The 22,116-nt window shown below is 40.3% G+C and overlaps 1 protein-coding gene across 1 annotated transcript in view, besides 3 other annotated features; it reads left to right on the top strand.

The window, feature by feature from the left end:
- Window positions 15,150-15,444: an enhancer, noted in NCBI's record as "tiled region #7876; HepG2 Activating DNase unmatched - State 1:Tss, and K562 Activating DNase unmatched - State 1:Tss". NCBI's record gives its function as "activates a minimal TATA promoter and a strong SV40 promoter by Sharpr-MPRA in HepG2 and K562 cells {active_cell/tissue: HepG2 | K562}" and the evidence as "EXISTENCE:reporter gene assay evidence [ECO:0000049][PMID:27701403]".
- Window positions 15,150-15,584: a biological region, named in NCBI's record as "Sharpr-MPRA regulatory region 7876".
- Window positions 15,245-15,584: a silencer, noted in NCBI's record as "silent region_1133". NCBI's record gives its function as "represses an Ori minimal core promoter by ATAC-STARR-seq in GM12878 lymphoblastoid cells {active_cell/tissue: GM12878}" and the evidence as "EXISTENCE:reporter gene assay evidence [ECO:0000049][PMID:35858748]".
- The window catches only part of SLC25A24 (solute carrier family 25 member 24), a 66,301-nt gene continuing 59,552 nt past the window's right edge, over window positions 15,368-22,116 (top strand). The window contains exon 1 of the mRNA NM_013386.5: window positions 15,368-15,755. Within this exon, the coding sequence (NP_037518.3) occupies window positions 15,573-15,755 (183 nt within the window). The 5' untranslated portion in view covers window positions 15,368-15,572. The remainder of the gene's footprint in view (window positions 15,756-22,116) is intronic.

The following is a 22,116-nucleotide window of genomic DNA, read 5'->3' as shown; positions in this document are numbered from 1 at the left end:
GTAAATATTATGTTATGTGCATTTTACCACAATTAAGAAATAAGGCCAGGCATGGTGGCTTATGCCTGTAATCCAGGCAGTTTGGAAACCCAAGGAGGGAGGATTCCTTGAACCCAGGAGTTTGAGATCAGACGGGGCAAAATAGTGAGACCCAGTGTTTACAAAAAAAATTAAAAATTAGTTGAGCATCGTGGTGTACGTCTGTAGTCCTAGCTACTCGGGAGGCTGAGGCAGGAGGATCACTTGAGCCCAGGAGTTTGAGGCTGCAGTGAGCCATGATTATGCCATTGCACTTCAACCTGGGCAACCCCGTCTCAATAAAATAAAGCAAGAAAAGAAAAGAAAACTAACTTTAACCATCTCAGTCCATTTTTGCAGCTTAAAGTCACATTATACACTTCAGGCTTAAATAGATTACTGAGTCATGGATAAATCATTCACAGGAATCATAAAAGTCCTGACTCAATATGAACCTTTAATTTTATTATTGGTGGAAGGATGCTGATGTAATCGATTTTGCAATATATAATATAATTTTAAAAGATAAATGTATTACATTTCTTTTGTTGTTTTTTCATTATATTGTAGTGCACAGTGAGTGAATATGGACAGAGAATATTTTTTAAAACAAAAAACGTGTTACACTCAGGTTTAAAATCATATTTTAGTTCTGTATCATTTGTTGGTGTACTTCAAGGATCTATAACTGCAGTGATGTACTTTCAAAAAGTAAAGATCCACTTATTTTTCTTTCCTCTTACCTCCTCCTGCCTGCATTCACCTTTCAGCTTTCATAATCTATCCGAGAGCCATTCTTCAGCTTTAAGTTACAGCACCCTCTACTGAGCTGTTAGCAACATTACATTGTGGCCGTTTTTCTTTTTTCTTTTTTTTTTGACACAATAAATTTTATTGTTTCCATAATAATAGGCTCTGGACAAAGACAATGGAGACAATGACAACACATTTAATCTCCTATAACAAATTAATCTGTTACAAATTTCCAGTGGCTCAACATATTAAAATGCAAAATATATAAAGAGAAAAACAAGAAATATAAATATTGAGATTTTTACAGTATAATGAAATGTCCTTTAAATAAAGTTTGTTGTAACTGTGTATGTAATTCTGACAGTAATTCAAAACACAAAATCACACATTTTCCCTAACTTCCCACGATCTGGATCTGGGGATTGCAATACTACAGAAATATGCAAAAGTAAGTTTAGTGCTCAGAGATAAATAATTTTCCTTATTTCAATGCATCAATGTGCAAACATTTCAATTCAAAAAAGCCAATCACTGCTATATGCAGATAAATAAAACAGATTTGACAACACTTTAATAATCAAACCCAACACTATAAAAAATAATGTGTGCGCGTGCATGTACATGTGTGTGCATGTGTGTAGGCAATGCCCATTTTAGAAAAAAGGTGTCTTGATGAAAATGATTTTGAAAATAGTCACTGATACACATTATATACAAAACCTTTTATATAAAAAATTAAACTATTTTCAATGAAATTCCATGTTCACATCCTATCTGAAAACTGTAATAGAATCATAAATAGGTCTACTAATGGTTTCTCTCTGAAATCATGGCTAAGGCACTTCTTTTTCCAAGGGTTTTCTTATATATCCGCCTGATGTCACTAATACTAATGTAGTCAAGTATACAGATGCAACCTGACATGCCTATGCATTATTACCTGGAGCTCTGTTCACTGTTATAATGGGAGAATTTACAGTTTCTACAAAGAATATTTTTCTTTTTAAAATTATACTGGTTTCTGTATTCCAAATTAAGCACTTACTTAAGACATTAAGTTTTTCCATTAGTGGTTGCCTTTCTTTCAGAAGCAAAATATAATTTTCAAAATAATATTTTGAAAATGCACTACAGAGATGAACTCTCTGCAAATCCAATTGCTCTCAAACTATTTGAAACTTATTACAATTATACATTTACAGCCACATTACTGCAAAGATACAAGTAGTCATGAGTTTGAAGATACAGTCAGACTTTAATGTAAAGGACATTCAGTTTTTGGGTATATTTAGCAGAAAAGCACGAAAGAAAATAGCAAAAAGTTCTACTTTAAAAATGAGTAATAGACACTTTAAAATAAGAAATGTGCATTTAAAATTTTTCTCTGCAGAGTGTGTTAGCTGTTAAAATGAATGTTAGGGGAGCAATTTTTAGAGATTCTTAGGTTAATTGTTATTGATATGACCCAAATTTCTTCTAGCTATAAAACCCTTTAAGTGTGATAAAATTATTTCCTGTATCCCCTGACTAGATGATATGCTGTAGGAAGACTGAGAATTTTGTTGGTTTTCTTTACTGCTGCATCCCCTATATGAAGATCTGTGTACGGCACATAGCAGACACTCAATAAATATTTAATAGTCGAATGAACAAAGTATGTGGGAAGAAATGTCTATTCACACCTGCTTTGCACTTTAAAAGCACAAAAGACTTTATTACGGAACCACTTGTGATTAGTCCTTTTATTTCCATCTTACTTACAGCCCTTTTCTTCTTAGAACTTTGATCACCATTATTATAATATGGTACCGAACTCTTCAGTGTTTGGATCTCTTCTTGTAAAACTTTATATATGTAAGATGCGTGGGGGGAAGTAGTTTACATAAGATAATTCATGTAACTGGCCTTCTCTTTAAATAATTCTATGTAAACTTTTTATTAATATGGTAGCAATTCCTCTGTCTTCTCAAGCGAAGAATATAGATAATAATTAGCCTTTTTTGGAGTTATGCTTTCCTTGTGTTTGTTTTAATATTTCTGATTGCCTTGCATTGTAATGAAATTCTAGCTTGGATGTTAGCTCTTCCTCCACCCACTAGTCTCTTCTGTCACTGTGCCTGGCTCACACATTCCTGACCACTCCCCAGCTACCCTTTAGGTTTTCCTGCTTTGAATCTGCTCTTCTGCTGGAAAGCAATTAAGCAAATATGACAAGAGCCAGATATTAAATAAAATTGAATATGTCTCCGAATAAGGACCAAAAATCACAGTTTCCGTGCACAGCCTCTGTGCGGGGTTGAGAATTCCATCTTCATATGAATGAGGTGTTATCCCCATGTACCACCCAACAAATAGAACAAATTTTTCTCCTGGCTCATGATATCTTAAAATGAAAGCTGGGAAAGTTTGGAGTCTTTATGAACTTTTTTGTAGAATGTATTATAAAAGTACATAAGAAACAACATCAATTATGCTCAGTGCCCATTACATACATTGCATCTTGCCAGTGCTTATTTGAAATGTCTCCTACACAAGTAGGAAGAAATGTGGGTATCAGGGGAATTTGGTTTATTCTTCATTCACCCTTTCTTTTAGACATCTGGCCCCAAAATAAGCAGGAGGAAGGTATTCTAGAGGGAATTTTTGGAACGAATGCCAGCGTAATCTTAACTTGGGATTCTCTCGGGTTAAGGATGGATCATACGCTATGCACCTAGTATGCAATTCCCTTTTTCCTTAGCGACCTTTGTGGGTATGGAATAATCACTGCTTCCACTCACCTTTGCAGCCCTCTTCATGCCAGCTTTCTAACCCCTTCTCCGTGATGCTAGCAGCATCAGAGACAGCATCACAAGTGGAGAGATTGCAGGAAGGTAAATTATCTGCTGTAGCTTCATTCATGGCCATGAAACTAGGCAACAACGACAGGTATTCCATCAGTCTAGCATCACTTTGACCGCTTTTGCTATACTGCGCTGCTGATCTGATACAGTATTATAGGTTGGTTTTGTATAGATCACACAGAGGCAGTTTGCAAGGGAAAATATATCACAGGCAAACCTGAGGAGTGGTACAATCTGAGGAAGTTAGGGAGGGCTTTTTAAAGGGCGTTAGAAGTTTGTACGTTAAAAGAAATTAATTGACAAAAAATTTGCAAGCACACTTTAAGGAATGCCTACATATGTTCACCCAGAGATTCCATCCAAGTTTCACACCAAATGTCCCAACAACATCCTTTGGGATCACATATTACACTTACTTGTCAGATTTCTTTAGTTTCCTTCAATTCAGAACAATACAGTCATTCCTGATCTTTCTGGACTTTATGTATTTGAAGGTTGCAGGCTGGCTATTCTGTAGAATATCCTCAATTTTGTTTTCTCTGATGTTTCCTCATGATGAGATTCAGGTTATGCATTTTGTTGGGACTATCACAGAAGTGATGTTATCTCTATCACATGACCCATGATCTTATTTCCTGTTACTGGTGACGTTAAGTTTGGTCATTTGCATAAGCTAGTATTTGCTAAGCTTCTTCACTATAAATTCTTTGTTCCATTTGTAATATACAATATTTTATTGAGACACAGTTTGAAACAAGGTAAATATCACATTTCTTATCCAACTCTTACACACTGAGTGCTAGCATTTTTTGATATTTCTTGCCTGAATTAATTACTTTTACCATGATGATCACCAGACGGTGATATCCTAATTCCATCATTCCATTAACATTTATTAGTTGGCATTCAACTTTAGAGAAGGAATTTCTGTTGTCTCCTTGGTATGACATCCATGTGGATTGATGGATTCCTGTTTCATCTAATGTGATCTAATCTGCTAACACTATGTATTTTGATGCCCAAATTGTCTTAGGGTTTTCCAGGGAGAGCCCCTTCAAGCTGACTCTGTGTCCTTTTGACACTACTCCGTTCTTTGAGCACTTACTCTCTGGTGAAATGAGATGTTCTGTGCTTATTTTGGACCTTTGTTGTCCCTACCCTGCAATCAGCTATTTCTCCAAGGTCCCCTAGTTTCTTTCAGAGAGTGATATTTAGAAAGAAAGATCTGGGTACTGTATGTTCTCATTGCTACTAGGCCCTGTCAGTGGACAGAGGTAGAAAATATATGTATGTACGTGTGTACATACATACATACACGCATATTACACACACACACATCCCTTTATATTTCTATATCTAAAAATATTTAAAACCATGAACTCACACCACTACTACTAATTATAATCCAACACTATAGGGTTCATTCTAGCTTAACTCTTTTCATATTTGTAACTCACTTCTCTGACTTAGCTCTCATTATCCTCAACATATTTATTTGCTTAGTCTCCTTGTGTATAACCAATCCCTCAGCCTCATTAGGCTATTGCCCTTCTCAGCACCTTCCTTCCTGAGTTCTGACTCTGGTTGTGCAGCTTTCCTCATTCTAGCCTGCCTGATGACTTTAATCTGATGAGGAAGGAAGGAGGAAGGAAGGAAGGAAGGAGGGAAAGGAGGGAGGTGAGGGCTTTACATATAAAAAATAAGTGTAAAATATCAATTCAAGTTCCATGATTATTGATTCTTGGAAGTACAAAGTATTCTTTTAATTTAAATAAATTCTGAAAATCTAGAAACAGTCTTAATATAGTCTTTTTAATCATTTCAAAATACTGAGGTATGTGGTTTTTAAGGCAGTTTGAATTTAACACAACTATTTTGAAATGAGAAGTATTTACATATTTTAGTGAGGATGGCAATTTTCTGGTAACTAAGAGCCATATTTTTATGATTGAGAATTGTTTGCATTTATTTTGGAGGATGGAATGGGGTTAGGAGATAGGCAGAGCAAGAGATGGAATTTGTTTTACTTCGAATTCCATCTCCTAAATGACTTGGAAAACCTGATGAAATTTCCAATTAGCTTAATGTGATGTAAGTGAGCCAAAAACTTAAAATGATTGTTTCACTAAAGACTAGTAGGACACCCAAATTCAAAATTTATTGCACAATAAAATTATCCTCCCAGAGATCTTTTGTGGGGCAAGATGGCTGAATAGGAACAGCTCTGGTCTGTAGCTCCCAGAGAGACCAACACAGAAGGTGGGTGATTTCTGAATTACCAACTGAGGTATCCGGCTCATCTCACTGGGACTGGTTAGACAGTGTGTGCAGCACACGGAGGGCTAGCAGAAGCACGGTGGTGTGTCGCTTTACCCAGGAAGTGCCAGGGGCGGGGGAACTCCCTCACCTAGCCAAGGGAAGCCTTGAGGGATTGTGCCCTGAGGGACGGTGCTGTCTGGCCCTGATACTACGCTTTTCCCACGGTCTTCAAAACCCACAGATCAGGAGATTCCCTGGGGTGCCTACACCACCAGAGCCTGGGTTTGAAGCACAAAACTGGGCGACCATTTGGGCAAGCACCAAGCTAGCTGCAGGAGTTTATTTTCGTAACCCAGTGGGGCCTGGAACACTAATGAGACAGAACTGTTTCCTTCCCTGGAAAGGGGGCTGAAGCCAGGGAGCCAGTGATCTTACTCAGCAGATCCCACTTCCAAGCAGCCTAGCAAGCTAAGAACCACTGGCTTGAAATTCTCACTGCAAGCTCAGTACTCTGAAGCCAACTTGGAACTCGAGCTTGGTGCAGGGAGGGGTATCGGCCATTACTGGGGCTTGAGTAGGCGGTTTTCCCCTCACAGTGTAAACAGAGCCCCCAGGCAGTTTGAACGGGGCGGAGCCCACCAGAGTGCCGCAAAGCAGCTGTAGCCAGACTGCCTTTCTAGATTACTCCTCTCTGGGCAGGGCATCTCTGAAAGAAAGGCAGGAGCCCCAGTCAAGGGCTTATAGATAAAACTCCCATCTCCCTGGGACAGAGCACTTGGGGGAAGGGGCTGCTGTGGGTGCAGCTTCAGCAGACTTAAACATTCCTGCCTGCCAGCTCTAAAGAGAGCAGCGGATCTCCCGGCACAGCGCTGGGGCTCTGCTAAGGAACAGACTGTCTCCTCAAGTGAGTCCCTGGCCCCCAAGCCTCCTAACGGGGAGACACCTCCCACCAGGGGTTGACAGACACCTCATAGAGAAGAGTTCCTGCTGGCATCTGGCAGGTGCCCCTCTGGGACGAAACTTTCAGAGGAAGGAGCAGGCAGCAATCTTTGTTGTTCTGCAGCCTCTGCTGGGGATACCCAGGCAAACAGGCTCTGGAATGGACCTACAGCAAACTCCAGCAAACCTGCAGAAGAGGCGCCTGACTGTTAGAAGGCAAACTAACAAACAGAAAGCAATAACATCAACATCAACAAAAAGGAAGCCCATGCAAAAACACCATCCAAAGGTCACCACCATCCAAAGGTCACCAACATCAAAGATCAAAGGTAGATAAATTCATGAAGATGAGGAAAAACCAGCACAAAAATGCTGAAAATTTGAAAAACCAGAATGCCTCTTCTCCTGCAAAGGATCACAACTCCTCGCCAGCAAGGGAACAAAACTGTATGGAGAATGAGTTTGATGAATTGACAGAAGTAGGCTTCAGAAGGTGGGTAATAACAAACTCCTCTGAGCAGAAGGAGCATGTTCTAACCCAATGTAAGGAAGCTAAGAACCATGATAAAAGGTTACAGGAACTGCTAACTAGAATAACCAGTTTAGAGAAGAACATAAATGACCTGATGGAGCTGAAAAACACAGCATGAGAACTTCATGAAGCATACACAAGTATCAATAGCTGAATAGATCAAGTGGAAGAAAGGATATCAGAGATTGAAGATCAACTTAATTAAATAAAGCATGAACACAAGATTAGAGAAAAAAGAATGAAATGAACAAAACCTCCAAAAAATATGGGACTATGTGAAAAGACCAAACCTACATTTGATTGGTGTACCTGAAAGTGATGAAGAGAATGGAACCATTTGGAAAACACACTTCAGGATATTATCCAGAAGAACTTTCCAAAACTAGCAAGACAGGCCAACATTCAAATTCAGGAAATAAAGAGAATACCACTAAGACACTCCTTGAGAAAAGCAACCCCAAGACACATAATTGTCAGATCACCAAGGTTGAAATGAAGGAAAAAATGTTATGGGCAGCGAAAGAGAAAGGTCAGGTTACCCACAAAGGGAAGCCCATCAGACTAACAGCGGATCTCTCTGCAGATACCCCACAAGCCAGAAGAATGTGGGGGCCAATATTCAGCATTCTTACAGAAAAGAATTTTCAACCCAGAATTTCATATCCAGCCAAACTAAGCTTCATAAGCAAAGGAGAAATAAAATCCTTTACAGACAAGCAAATGCTGAAGGATTTTGTCACCAGCAGGCTTGTCTTACAAGAGCTCCTGAAGGAATCACTAAATATGGAAAGGAAAAACTGGTACCAGCCACTGCAAAAACATACCAAAATGTAAAGACCATTGACACTATGAAGAAACTGCATCAAATAACGTGCAAAATAACCAGCTAGCATCACAATGAGAGGATCAAATTCACAAATAACAATATTAACTTTAAATGTAAATGGGCTAAATGCCCCAATTAAAAGACACAATGACAAATTGGATAAAGATTCAAGACCCATCAGTGTGCAGTTTTCAGGAGACTCTTCTCATGTGCAAAGACACACATCCGCTCAAAATAATGGGATGGAGGAATATTTACCAAGAAAATTGAAAGCAAAAGAAAAAAAAAAAAAAAAAGCAGAGGTTGCAATCCCAGTCTCTGATAAAACAAACTTTAAACCAACAAAGATCAAAAAAGACAAAGAAGGGCATTACATAATGGTAAAGGGATCGATGCAACAAGAAGCACTAACTATCCTAAATACATATGCACTGAACACAGAAGCACCCAGATTCATAAAGCAACTTCTTAGAGACCTACAAAAAGACTCAGACTCCCACACAATAATAGTGGGAGACTTTAACATCCCACTGTTAATACTAGATTGATCAATGAGACCGAAAATTAACAAGGATATTTAGGACTTGATCTCAGCTCTGGACCAAGCAGACCTAATAAACATCTACGGAACTCTCCACCCCAAATCAACAGAATATACATTCTTCTCAGCACCACATAGCACTTATTCTAAAATTGGCCACACAATTGGAAGTAAAAGACTCCTCGCCAAATGCAAAAGAACGAAAATCATAAAAAACAGTCTCTCAGACCACAGTGCAAATTGAAACTCAGGATTAAGAAACTCATTCAAAACCTTACAACTACATGGAAACTGACCAACCTGCTCCTGAATGACTATTGGGTAAATAACAAAATTGAGGTAGAAATAAATAACACTTTGAAACCAATGGGAACAAAGACACAACATACCAGAATATCTGGGACACAGCTAAAGCAGTGTGTAGAGGGAAATTTAAAGCACTAAATGCCCCCATGAGAAAGTGGGAAAGATCTAAAATCAACACCCTAACTTCACAATTAAAAAAACCAGAGAAGCAACAGCAAAAAAATTCAAACGCTAACAGAAGACAAGAAATAACTAAGATCAGAGCAGGACTGAAGGAGATAGAGACACGAAAAACCCTTAAAAAAATCAATGAATCCAGGAGCTGGTTTTTTGAGAAGATTAACAAAATAGACTGCTAGCCAGACTAAAAAAGAAGAAAAGAGAGAAGGATCAAATAGACACAATAAAAATGATAAAGGGGACATTACCACTGATCCCACAGAAATACAAACTACCTTAAGAGAATACTATAAACACCTCTATGCAAATAAACTAGAAAATCTAGAAGAAATGGGTAAATTCCTGGACACATACTCTCTCCCAAGACTAAGCCAGGAAGAAGTCGATTCCCTGAATACTACCAATAACAAGTTCTGAAATTGAGGCAATAATTAATAGCCTACAAACTAAAAAAAAAAAATAGCACAGAACCAGATGGATTCACAGCCAAACTCTACCAGAGGTAGAAGGAGGAACTGGTACCATTCCTTCAGAAACTATTCCAAACAATGGAAAAAAAGAGACTCTTCTCTAACTCATTTTATGAGGCCAGCATCATACTGATACCAAAACCTGGCAGAGACACAACACAGAAAGAAAATTTCAGGTCAATATCCCTGATGAACTTCGATGAAAAAATCCTCAATAAAATATTGGCAAACTGAATCCAGCAGCAAATCAAAAAGCTTATCCACCATGATCAAGTTGGCTTCATCCCTGGGATGCAAGGCTGGTTCCACATACAGAAATCAATAAACGTAATTCATCACATAAACAGAACCAATGACAAAAGCCACATGATTATTTCAATAGATGCAGAAAAGGCCTTTGATAAAATTCAACAGCCGATTCATGCTAAAAACTCTCAATAAACTAGGTACTGATGAAACGTATCTCAAAATAATAAGAGCTATTTATGAGAAACCCACAGCCAATATCATACTGAATGGGCAAAAGCTGAAAGCATTCCCTTTGACAACTGGCACAAGACAAGGATGCCCTTTCTCACCACTCCTATTCAACATAGTATTGGAAGTTCTGGCCAGGGCAATCAGGCAAAAGAAAGAAATAAAGGATATTCAAATAGGAAGAGGGGAAGTCAAATTATCTCTGTTTGCAGATGACATGATTGTATATTTAGAAAACCCCATTGTCTCAGCCCAAAAACTCCTTAAGCTGATAAGCAACTTCAAGCAAAGTCTCAGGGTACAAAATCAATGTGCAAAAATCACTAGCATTTCTATACACCAATAAGAAACAGAGAGACAAATCATGAGTGAACTCCCATTCACAACTGCTACCAACAGAATAAAAAACCTAGGAATACAACTTACAAGGGATGTGAAAGATATCTTCAAGGAGAATTACACCAATGCCAAGGAAATAAGAGACAACACAAACAAATGGAAAAACATTCCATGCTCATGGATAGGAAGAATCAATATCATGAAAATGGCCATACTGCCCAAAGTAATTTATAGATTCAATGCTAATCCCATCAAGCTACCATTGACTTTCTTCACAGAATTAGAAAAAACTATTTTAAATTTGATATGGAACCAAAAAAGAGCCCGTATAGCCAAGAAAATCTTAAGTAAAAAGAGAAAAGCTGGAGGCATCACTTTACCTGACTTTTAACTACACTACAAGGCTACAGTAACCAAAACAGCATGGCACTGGTACCAAAACAGAGATATAGACCAATGGAACAGAACAGAGTCCACAGAAATAATGCCACACATCTACAACCATCTGAGCTTTGACAAGCCTGATAAAAACAAGCAATGGGGAAAGGATTCCCCATTTAATAGATGGTGTTGGGAAAACTGGCTAGCCATATGCAGAAAACTGAAACAGGACCCCTTCCTTACACCTTATACAAAAATTAATTCAAGATGGATTAAAGACTTAAACATAAGACCTAAAACCATAAAAACCCTAGAAGAAAACCTAGGCAATACCATTCAGGACATAGGCATGGGCAAAGGCTTCATGACTAAAACACCAAAAGCAATTGTGACACAAGCCAAAATTGACAAATGGGATCTAATTAAACTAAAGAGCTTCTGCACAGAAAAAGAAACTATCATCAGAGTGACCAGGCAACATACAGAATGGGAGAAAATTTTTACAATCTATCCATCTGACAAAGGGCTAATATCCAGAATCTACAAGGAACTTAAACAAATCTACAAGAAAAAAACAAACAACCCCATCAAAAACTGGGCAAAGGATATGAATAGATACTTCTCAAAAGAAGACATTTATGCAACCAAGAAACATACGAAGAAAATCTCATCATCACTGTTCATTAGAGAAATGCAAATCAAAACCACAATGAGATACCATCTCACACCACTCAGATTGGTGAACATTAAAAAGTCAGGAAACAACAGATGCTGGAGAGGATGTGGAGAAATAGGAACGCTTTTACACTGGTGGTGGGAATGTAAATTAGTTCAACCGTTGTGGAAGACAGTGTGGTGATTCCTCAAGGATCTAGAACCAGAAATACCATTTGACCCAGCAATCCCATTACTGGGTGTATATATCCAAAGGATTATAAATCATTCACATGCACGTTTATTGCACCACTATTCACAACAGCAAAGACTTGGACCCAACCCAAATGCCCATCAGTGATAGAATGGATAAAGAAAATGTGGCACATATATACCATGGAATAGTATGCAGCCATAAAAAAGGATGAGTTCATGTCCTTTGTAGTGACATGGATGATGCTGAAAGCCATCATTCTCAGCAAACTAACACAGGAACAGAAAACCAAACACCGCATGTTCTCAGTCATAAGTGGGAGTTGAACAATGAGAACACATGGACACAGGGAGGAGAACATCACATGCCGGGGCCTGTTGGGGGTGGGGAGGGGAGGGAGTGGGGAGGGGAGGGATAGCATTAGGAGACATACCTAATGTAGGTGATGGGTTGATGGGTGCAGCAAACCACCATGGCACATTTATACCTATGTAACAAACCTGCACATTCTGCACATGTATCCCAGAACTTAAAGTACAATGAAAAAAAATTATCCTTCCAGTAATGGTTATGGCTTTACACTGAACCAATCAAATTCTCTTACAGAGCCTAAGCTGTGATTACTCAAATTTGAGGGAGCAATGACCAGGATCTTTTTTTCCTTTCTGAATATTCTTGAAGGATTTTGAAATAGAATTGTTCCTTGTGGAGAGGCAGATTCTTTGGTCTTATTAGCACTACACAATAAGTAAGTGATTCAGTGGATAGAAAGAAGAAATGTGTTTATCAACTAAAACTAGCCAAATCCAGAATGATTATGAAAAGATTCCAAAGTAGGTGCTGAAAGAGGTCTTCAAGGACTGAAACTGGTCAAGTCTGAAGGTTATTCCAGTGGAAAATGGTAGTACATTAGAAGGCCAGAAGTTGGGGACAATAGAAGTAGCTAAATTGGGCTGAACCCTAGACTTCTGTTCTGACCAAGGAAATGAATTAAGGAAGTGTGAATTCTGGGTTTCTACTACTGCCCTCTAGGAACCACTGGTCTTTGGGAATTGCCAGTAGAATTAAGCAGGGGTGCCTTCTTTCGTCCAGATGTGTAAATGTCCATGTAAAGGTTTCTTCTCTTATGCAGGAAGTTGCTAGTGTTAATTACACCTTTTATCTTCATGGTGTTATCTCGATTCCTTGCAGACATAGTGTCGTAAAATACAGTAAAAATGCAATACTAGAAAATTGAAATTAAAAAGACAAGCTCTGAGTTTTATTATTAGATATAACAAAATTACTTTATCAAATTGCTATAAAGTTTCTAAATCCTTCCTCTCAATGTCTGACTCATTGCAGACAGGTAACAGGTTGCACTTCGAGTGGTTTGCTTCATACTAGCTGTGCTTTTCAAACTTTATGAAATGCTCATCCAGGGTTCTTGTATAAGTGCAATTCTTACTTAGTGGGCTTGGGCAGGCCTGAGATTATTTCTGACAAGCTCCCAAGTGACACTGATGCTGCTGGTCTGTGGCCCACACTTCATAAACGCTTTGATTTTCACAGTAACACTGATGTGACACCAATGCTGCTGGTGTGTGGCCCATACTTCATAACTATTCATAAACTGTTTTGATGTTCACACTGATCTTTTGAGAATTTTTATTCCATTTTACTCATGCTTAAGTCAGATTTATTGATATCCCAGAGTAAATTAACCCATGTTAGTGTGCAGTTCTGCTGGCACACACATGCAGTTGTGTAACCACTACCACCAAAAGCAAGATGTAAAATAGCTCCATCACCCCCACAAGCCTTCTGATGCTCTTTTGTCATCAATTCCCTTCCCGCTAGTCACAACTGGTAACTACTGATTTGTTTTCTGTCCCTATAGTTTTGCCTTTTCCAGAATGTCATTGTTGACAGGTATCAGTAATTCATTCCTTTTTATTGCTAATTACTATCTCACTGTATGAATGCAACACAGGTTGTTTACCAGTTCACCCGTTAAAGAACATTTTGTTTCTGCGCTTGACAGTTATGAATAGAACTGCTATAAACCCTCAAGTAAAAGTTTTGGTGTGAAGATAATTTTCTCAGCAAAAACGCTGACAGGTAATTTTTCTAAGTATTACTTTTTTAAAAAAGTAAAATAGCCTGTAGCCCCAGCTACTCAGGAGGCTGAGGCAGGAGAATAGCTTGAACCCAGGAGGCGGAGGTTGCAGTGAGTTGAGATTGTGCCACTGCATTCCAGCCTGGGCGACAGAGCTAGACTGTCTCAAAGAAAAAAAAAAAAAAAAAAGAAATAAATAAAAAGTAAAATGAAAGCATGTAAGTGTAAGATGACTAGTTCAAGCAACCTCTCTTCAAGTACAGAGTATTCAGAGTAGAGATTAAAAGAGGTTTTCAAGGACAGAGAAAATTTGAAGTTTGAAGGCAGTTCCAAAGGAAGGCAATGATTCTTAATAAGACTGGAAGTTGGAAGTAATATAAAAAGATAAATCAGTTTCAAGATGATTTTACTAAGCAGGCAGCCCTTAATTTACAAATTCTAGATTCATACATATCTTAAACATACAAAATGATATGAGGAGAGGTAAGTTCAGGGTCTGAGTTCCTGGCTGTTGTTGGAACTGATTTCTGTGTAGTGATTCAGAAGATGTGAGACACCCTAATTTACAAGTACAGAGGTATCTTCTTTTCTGCAAACAGCAGTACAACAATAGTTCCTCTTACGCAGCTGTGAATGAACAGGATTATTACAATTAATGATATCTCATTTGATTGGCGCCTTAGAGAATTAAGACCTTTCACACCTAATATACAACTTTGTTGTGAAGGCAGATATTTATATTCTCATTTTACTGATGAGAGACTACCCGGAGACGCTATGTCACACCTGAAGGATTAGGTACTTTCTCTGTTAAGTCCAATGTTCCTTCCGTTATTCCATGCTAGGCAGTAATAAGTTCTGTCTTGCCTGAGTAATAAGCTCCAAACCTCGGAACTGCACCCATCTTGAGAAGGAGGAGGGCGCTGTGGTTTTTTCTGATAAGTGCAGCTGGCAGACACTCTATACGCTTAATCACGGGCAAATCCTAGCTAAGCTGCCTACCAAACTAGTCCTTCTTTTCCCCGTTGCCCACGCAGATGGCTGTTGATCTTTTCTGCAACAAATCCAGGAGTTTCTCCTTTTTGTTTTATAATTGCTCCAATAGATGCTTTAGGATTTAACTCTCTGCTTTTTAAAGCAGAATCGCCATCCCAGGTGTGCAACCACGAAAAAATTAGACATCCGTGAGAGACAATGCCCTCCATGGCCCAGTTTCCAGGCAGAGAGAAGCAGCTCTGGGCTGACCGCCAAGGCTCCGGCCCGAGAGGGTCTTTAAGTGGAGTAACCAGTCTTCAAGACCCCGCTCCCAAGCCACCGACGCGCTGACGCTGCAGCCCTGGACCTGCTGGGGGCCTCTTCCTCGGACCCGCATGCTGACAGCGGGACTGGCAACTGGGCAGAGGTCGACCCCGGGTCCGCACAGCACCTCCCGAGACCCAGCTCCCAGCTCCCTCACTTCCGGCTCTCTGGAGGCGGGCCCGGCCAGTGCCGCCGAGGCCAGCGCGGCGAGCTCCTCCCCAGCAGCGGCGGGACGGCCACACCCTGCGCTCCGCGCGGGCTCGGGTGGGGTCTCCGCTCCTGCGCCCTGCGCCCTGCGCGCCGCAGCCGCAACCCCGACGGCGCCCCAAACGCTGTTGCGCCGCGCGCCCCGCCCAGCCCGGCCTCGCGCTGGTCCCGGTCTCGCCCCGCAGCCCTCGATCTCCCGTGACTTCCTCGGCCAGGCCGCCTGCGCCTCTGGGACCATGTTGCGCTGGCTGCGGGACTTCGTGCTGCCCACCGCGGCCTGCCAGGACGCGGAGCAGCCGACGCGCTACGAGACCCTCTTCCAGGCACTGGACCGCAATGGGGACGGAGTGGTGGACATCGGCGAGCTGCAGGAGGGGCTCAGGAACCTGGGCATCCCTCTGGGCCAGGACGCCGAGGAGGTGGGTCGCCGCCGGGGCGCCGCCTGAGCGTAGGGAGGGCTGCGGGCGCTGGGGACACTGCGAGGACCGAGGAGGGCGGCGGCTTGAGGCGTTGCCAGGAGAGGAAGGAGGAACTGTGGCGCCCAGCGCTCCGGTGGCTTCAGAAACTCGGGCGTGGGGCCGCGACCGGCGACCCCGGTAACAGAAGTGGGTCATAATACGAAAGTCTACTGGTATTTGTCCAGATAAAATGAGTGTTGTGGACACTCTGGCCCACGGGCACTGTTAAATTTTTAAGACACTTTTGTCCTGAATCCATCCCAGGTTCTTTGTTTTCTGTTTTAATACCTTGCAGACATGTAATCCGTTTTAGCTGTCAGACTTCAGTGGGTCCCAAGTTTTGTATAAAGGCGCACACATTCGATCTCTTTCGAAGCTGCTTTGTTACAGCAGCTATGTGTATTGTCTACTGTTTGAAAACTGTTTGAAAACCAATCGCGTGTTTCCCCCACTTCCTGTTGAGAAGGAATGGCGGCATTCCATTGTTTAAGACATTCCTAGGTTAATGCCCTAGGTACATAAATTGATCTGAAGGGTTGACTTGACCTGCGACTGAGCAATTTCATTTTCTCTGAGTCATCTTAACTGTGCCCCTGAACTTCTGCCCCTTTAGTAGGGTGGAGATATGTGGAACTTCTCCAACCCTGTTGAAGCGTTCCCTGACACTGGCATTCTCTTATCCAAAGAGGGAAAGTGATTAGGTTACTATGAGGGCCAACAACTGTTATATAGTTATATTTCACTTCTCTTTTAATGTCTTTGGTAGTTATAGGCCTCTTCAGTTTACTGTTTCTTCTAGAGTCAGATTTAGTAAGTTACAATTTTTTTTGAAACTGCCTGTTCTGTCCAAGGTTCATAATACTCACCGATGATTTTATAACACTTCTGACTGAATCTGTAGGTAGGTTCTCTATTTCATTCCTCATATCTATCCTTTTCTCCCCTTCAATCTTGCCAAAGTTTTGTGTATTTTATTCATACTTTGAAGGAACCAACTTTTGGTACTTTGTGCTGATTGTCCCAGAAATGGCCCAGTTGGAGTTCCCCACCATGTCCAATCATTGGCTGGAAGCAGCCCAGGAAAGGGACGACCTTGCTGCAGTGCATCAGCAGATGCCAGGGTTAGAGGCTAGAGAGTGGAAGTCAACTGTGTTCCTCACAGTAGGTGCCTTTGAAGGGAGATCTCAGTGGTACAACTCCATGGTCCCTACAATATACAAAAGCTCTTTGGAGTGCTCAATGATTTTTAAGATTGTAAAGGGATCCTGAGATCAAAAAGCTTGAGAATTGCTGCTGTATCACCATTTTTACGTAACTGCATCATATTCTGTTATATGTTTGTGTCATAGTATATGTTACCAATTCTTTTTAAATCACCTTTTACTTTATTGATAGTTTAAAAACGATTGTAAGTGAAATTGCAATGGATGTCCTTTGTATTCATTTTCTCATTCTGGTCCAGTTACTTTCGTAAGATAAATTTTGAGGAGTGGACATTGCTGAGTCTGAAGGTAACACACATTTTAAACTGGGATACGTATTGCCTTTCGGAAACCTTAGACCCATTTTCACTCTTTTGACTGACAGTGCTTGCTTCTCCACATCCTCGCTCATTCAGGGTATCAGTCTTTGTAAAGTCTCCTATTCTGCAGGTGAAATTCCTTTTCATTTCCTGTCTTAGTCCATTTAGTGTTGCTATAGTGGAATATCTGAGACAGGGTAATTTATAAAGAAAAGACATTTATTTAGCTCACAGTTCCGCAGGCTGGGAAGTTTAAGAAGCGTGGTGCTGGCATCTGCTGGACTCCTGGGGAGGGCTTTCCTGCTGTGTCACAACATGGTGGAAAGTCAAAGTGGAAGTGGACATGTGTGAAGAAGCAAAATCCGAGGGGTGTCCTGGCTTTATAGCAACCCAGCCTCGAGGGAACTGATCCATTACTGAGGGAACTAATTCAGTCTCATGAGAGAGAGAACTCACTCACTACTGCAAGAATGACACCAAGCCATTCATGAGGGATCTGCCTCCGTAACCCTGACACCTCCTGCTAGGTCCCTCCTCCCAACACGGCCACATCAGGGATCAGACTTCAACATGAGTTTTTGTGGGGACAAACAAAACGTAGCACTTGCTTTGCCTTTTGGTTCTATTCACATCCTCCACAGGATTGCATTATGCCTACCCATTTGGTGAGGGCAGTCTTCTTTAATTGGTTTACTGATTCAAATGCTACCCTCCTCCAGAGACATCCTCACAGACACACCCAGAAATCATGTTTTACCAGTTATCTGGGCATCCCTTAGTCCAGACGAGTTGATACATAAAATTAACCATCACACATGGGATAGAATTAGGATTACACAGTCAACCTTTATGGGAGAAAATTTCAGAGGCATGTCAGGGGTTTATGTAATGTCAAGGAGTGAGGACATTGGCTACTTGAGCATAGAAATGAGAACTGTGGGGTGACTCTTCGGTGGAAAGTTTCAAGGTAGTAGTTTGTATCTAAGCCAAATACTCAGCTTGAAGCAAAATCTCTATAAATTTTCATCTGATTTGATCTCATCTCCGTGTTTCCAAGCATTTGTAATGAATTGAGCATTTAGAAGAGAACAAATTTCTGTTTAAGTTTCTTTAGATTTTAGATGGAAAGAATGTAGAAATAAGAGTAGAATGTAGAAATAGGTATAAGGAATATAATAGCTAACCATTACTAAGTGTTCCAGAATTATCCAGGGAAGAGAAAAGAATTCAAGGCAAGTCCTGAGACAAAATTAAGAACCAATTGGAAGTGAAAGCGCTACATTTTTTTTTCTGGTATGACCTTTCTTTTCTGTATGTTCCAAATCTCCTCACTATGAAATTAGTGAAAAATTAAAGTTAAAAATTAGAGAAAATTCACATTAAGTTCTCCTAGGACTCAGTAGTATAAGGGTATAGACTGAGAGTAGAATGTAGTGTGAGAACAAGGAGATACAGTATTTAACCATTACTAATTCTCTTATACTTGTCTAGTAATCCTATTTCCTTTTAAAAGTCTTCAGTTATTTTCTCTTTACGCACCTCCTTCTCCCTCTTGTCTTCCTCCTTCTACCCCCATCTTCTTTCTTCCTGTGGAGCCTTCATGAATGGGATTAGTGCTTGTATAAAAGTGACCTGGAAGACCTTCCTTGCCCCTTCCACCATGTGAGGACACAGTGAGAAAACAGTGGTCCATGGAACCGGAAAGTGGGTCCTCACTAGACAGTAAATCTCCTAGCACTTCGATCTAGGACTTCCAGTGTCTGGAACTGCAAGAAATCAATGCTTATTTTTTAAGTAAGCCAATAGTATTTTTGTCATAGCAGCCCAGTTGGACTAGGACAATTATCAAGAGCAAGAAGGGAAGCAGCAAGCTACAAGAGAGTTCCGTCCTTGGTGTAAATTGACCGTGTAATCCTTGTCAAGTTTGAGCCTTACTGGAGCTTTACTTTCTTATTCTTAAAATGCAGATATCTTGCCTGCATCCTGGACAGAGCTTTTAACAAGGTCATATGTTGCAGAATATGAAAGTTCATGTTAAAAAACCCTTTAAAATGTGGTATCCCATTTACTAGCTGGTGAACTTCTTGAGGAACCTCTGTGCCCATGGGTATGAAGTGTATGCTGAATGATCACCCAATGTTAGAGGAGTGGGTGGACTGGTAACCTGATTTAAGGGCCATTCTAACTCTTACATTCTATGATTTTTTTAATTCTGTCTTTAAGTTTTTACATTTACAATCACAGAAAAAATAGTCACATAGAAGAATAGTAGCTTAGCAAATGTTTATTGCATTGAGTGGAATCAGGATTTCACTCCATTAAGTAATTCCTCTGTTAACAAAGAGGGTTCATTTCATTTTTATTTCATTAATATTGCTTTTTTTTTTTTTTTCTGGAGACAGAATCTTGCTCTATCACCAAGGCTGGAGTGCAGTGGTGCGATCTCGGCTCACTGCAGCCTCTGCTTCCTGGATTCAAGCGATTCTTGTGCCTCAGCCTCCCAAGCAGCTGAGATTACAGGCACATGCCACCACACCTGGTTAACTTTTGTATTTTCTAGTAGAGATGGGATTTTGCCATTTTGGTCAGGCTGGTCTTGAATTCCTGGCCTCTAGTGATCTGCCTGCCTCTGCCTCTGAAAGTGCTAAGATTACAGGCATGAGCTACCATGGCCAGCCCATTTCCTTAATATTTTAATTGTCAGACATGTTATGGTTTCTGGCACAATATTAAGAAGACATGATATGAAATCACAGGGTGAATTTTAGGGCATCACAACAGAAAGATTATGGTATAAGAAAAACAATGGAATTCCAACTACATTTCTGTCAAATGTTCTAAAATATATAAAATCTGTATCTTTTGTGTTCTCTCCTGATTTATATTCTAAATTTGATGTTATCCTTCTCTGCAGAAATAAAGTGTCTGAAAGAATGAAAAAAATGGAAGAATTCTTTAGTAAGGTATAAAATACCCTTTCTATCTTTGTAGCATTCTAAGCCTTTTGTCACCTTTCCAAACTCCCAACATGCCATATTCCCTGACTAGGCCACAGCCATGTACATTGATCCCTTTATTTTCTTCTCTCTGCCTGAGATTTCTCTCATTCCCCCTTCTCTGCCTGGTATATGATTGCCCATTGTTTAAGGCCCCAACTCACCTTTATAATCTTCCTAGCCCACTTTCTTTATCGGTATTCCAGAAAAAACAAAAGAAGCTTCCACAAGACAACATTCTGTAATACACTGCTTAACTTCTTTTGACCCTGCTGAGTTCAAAAATCTTATCTTTTTAAGGATTGAATGGAGTCCACCAAGGTATCTATATTTGACAGGATTTATGAAAACAAAAGGATTTGTTGAGAAAGTTTGAAGCCTAACTCTGAAACGTGGATCATAGTGTTTACTACACATTAACTGTTTTAGTGGATGTAATAGTTATTATTATAGGCTGTGGAATCAGAACAGGGTTCAAATGTTTTCACCGCTTGCTAGACTGTGGCCTTGGGCATGTTATTTAATGCCTGGAGGCCTCAAATGTTAACTAGGAATGGTAAGACCTACCCAGTAACTTAGCATAAATAGTAAATTCATTCATTTAATGTTTTCAAACAGTGCCAGACATTGTTTAATGAACTGGGGATATAGTGGTGAACAACACTGACAGCGTTCTTCATTGTATTCTCAAAACCCTCCCTATAGTAAGTAGGTCTGTGTGTGTGTGTAGGTGCATGGGGAATAAAAAATAATAAGCAAATAATGAACAGGGTAATTTCAAAAAGCAGAAAGAGCTATTCAACAAAACTACCTGCCTTTTATTAGATGAAACTCTCAACTCTATGGTTTGTTCTCTCCTGTCAATTCTGTTAAATGCTGTCAGCCTGTTTTCCTTATCACCCTGGCCACGACTTCTGTCTTTTCTGCTTGGTCCTGTAGACTCTAACCCAAGGCTCATTCTCTGCCTGGCTATCTGCCTTCTGTGGCTCTTTGCCACTACCTACATTTTCTGTGTTGCACAGGGAAGGACCATTCCCTGTGGACCATAAAATTCTCTTTTTGAAAGAATTCATTCTTGATTGGGCCACAGCACATCTTGTGAAACAGCATTAGACATTTGCCACTGCTCAGCAGCTCTGGGGGAAAATGTTTACTGAGAAGCGTACAGTAGTTTTTTTGACTAACCATGGTGCAACCTCCTCCCAGAGGGAAACCTATGAGTATTTCAAGGACATGTGATGGTCTGTTTTTGTCCCCAGTATCTGACATGATGGGTAGTGTAGAGCAAGAGCTTACAGATAATGGCTAAATTAAATTTTCTTTTTGAATTTTAATATTCAACTTTTTAGGGTACCCAATCTCCATATTTAGGAAAATAAATTACATAAAAAGTGGAGAGTTTTTATTGTGAAACTGCACCTCCATATTCCCAGTGGTGCAGGATGAGGGAGCACAGGTGTTGGTCTGGGGAAGCCAGGGCCCTCTGTGGTTCTGGAGGGTGAGGATTAAGAGGAAGCCTTAGATAGTATTTATGAGTATCTGCTGACTTCTCTCTGGGACCCAAGATCACTGAACTTTTGCCTATTTTGAGATCATCTTTCCAATCCAGCCACTAACAGCTGAAGGATAGGCTTGCCCTGGAGCCATTGTAGTGGTTGGATGAAGATAAAAGATAAAAAACTGTGAGGGGAGGTGTCACAGAAGAAAGGGCCCATGTGGGCAGATTTTCATTCAATTCCTAGTCTTTATTACAGCAATTCTCCAGTGCTGCAACCTTAGAAAAGGATTCCTACAACACAATGTA

This window comes from Homo sapiens, chromosome 1, assembly GCF_000001405.40.
Source record: "Homo sapiens chromosome 1, GRCh38.p14 Primary Assembly".
NCBI lineage: Eukaryota > Metazoa > Chordata > Mammalia > Primates > Hominidae > Homo > Homo sapiens.
The sequence above is the reverse complement of the archived record's forward strand: the minus strand, read 5'-3'. Positions and strand labels throughout refer to the sequence as shown.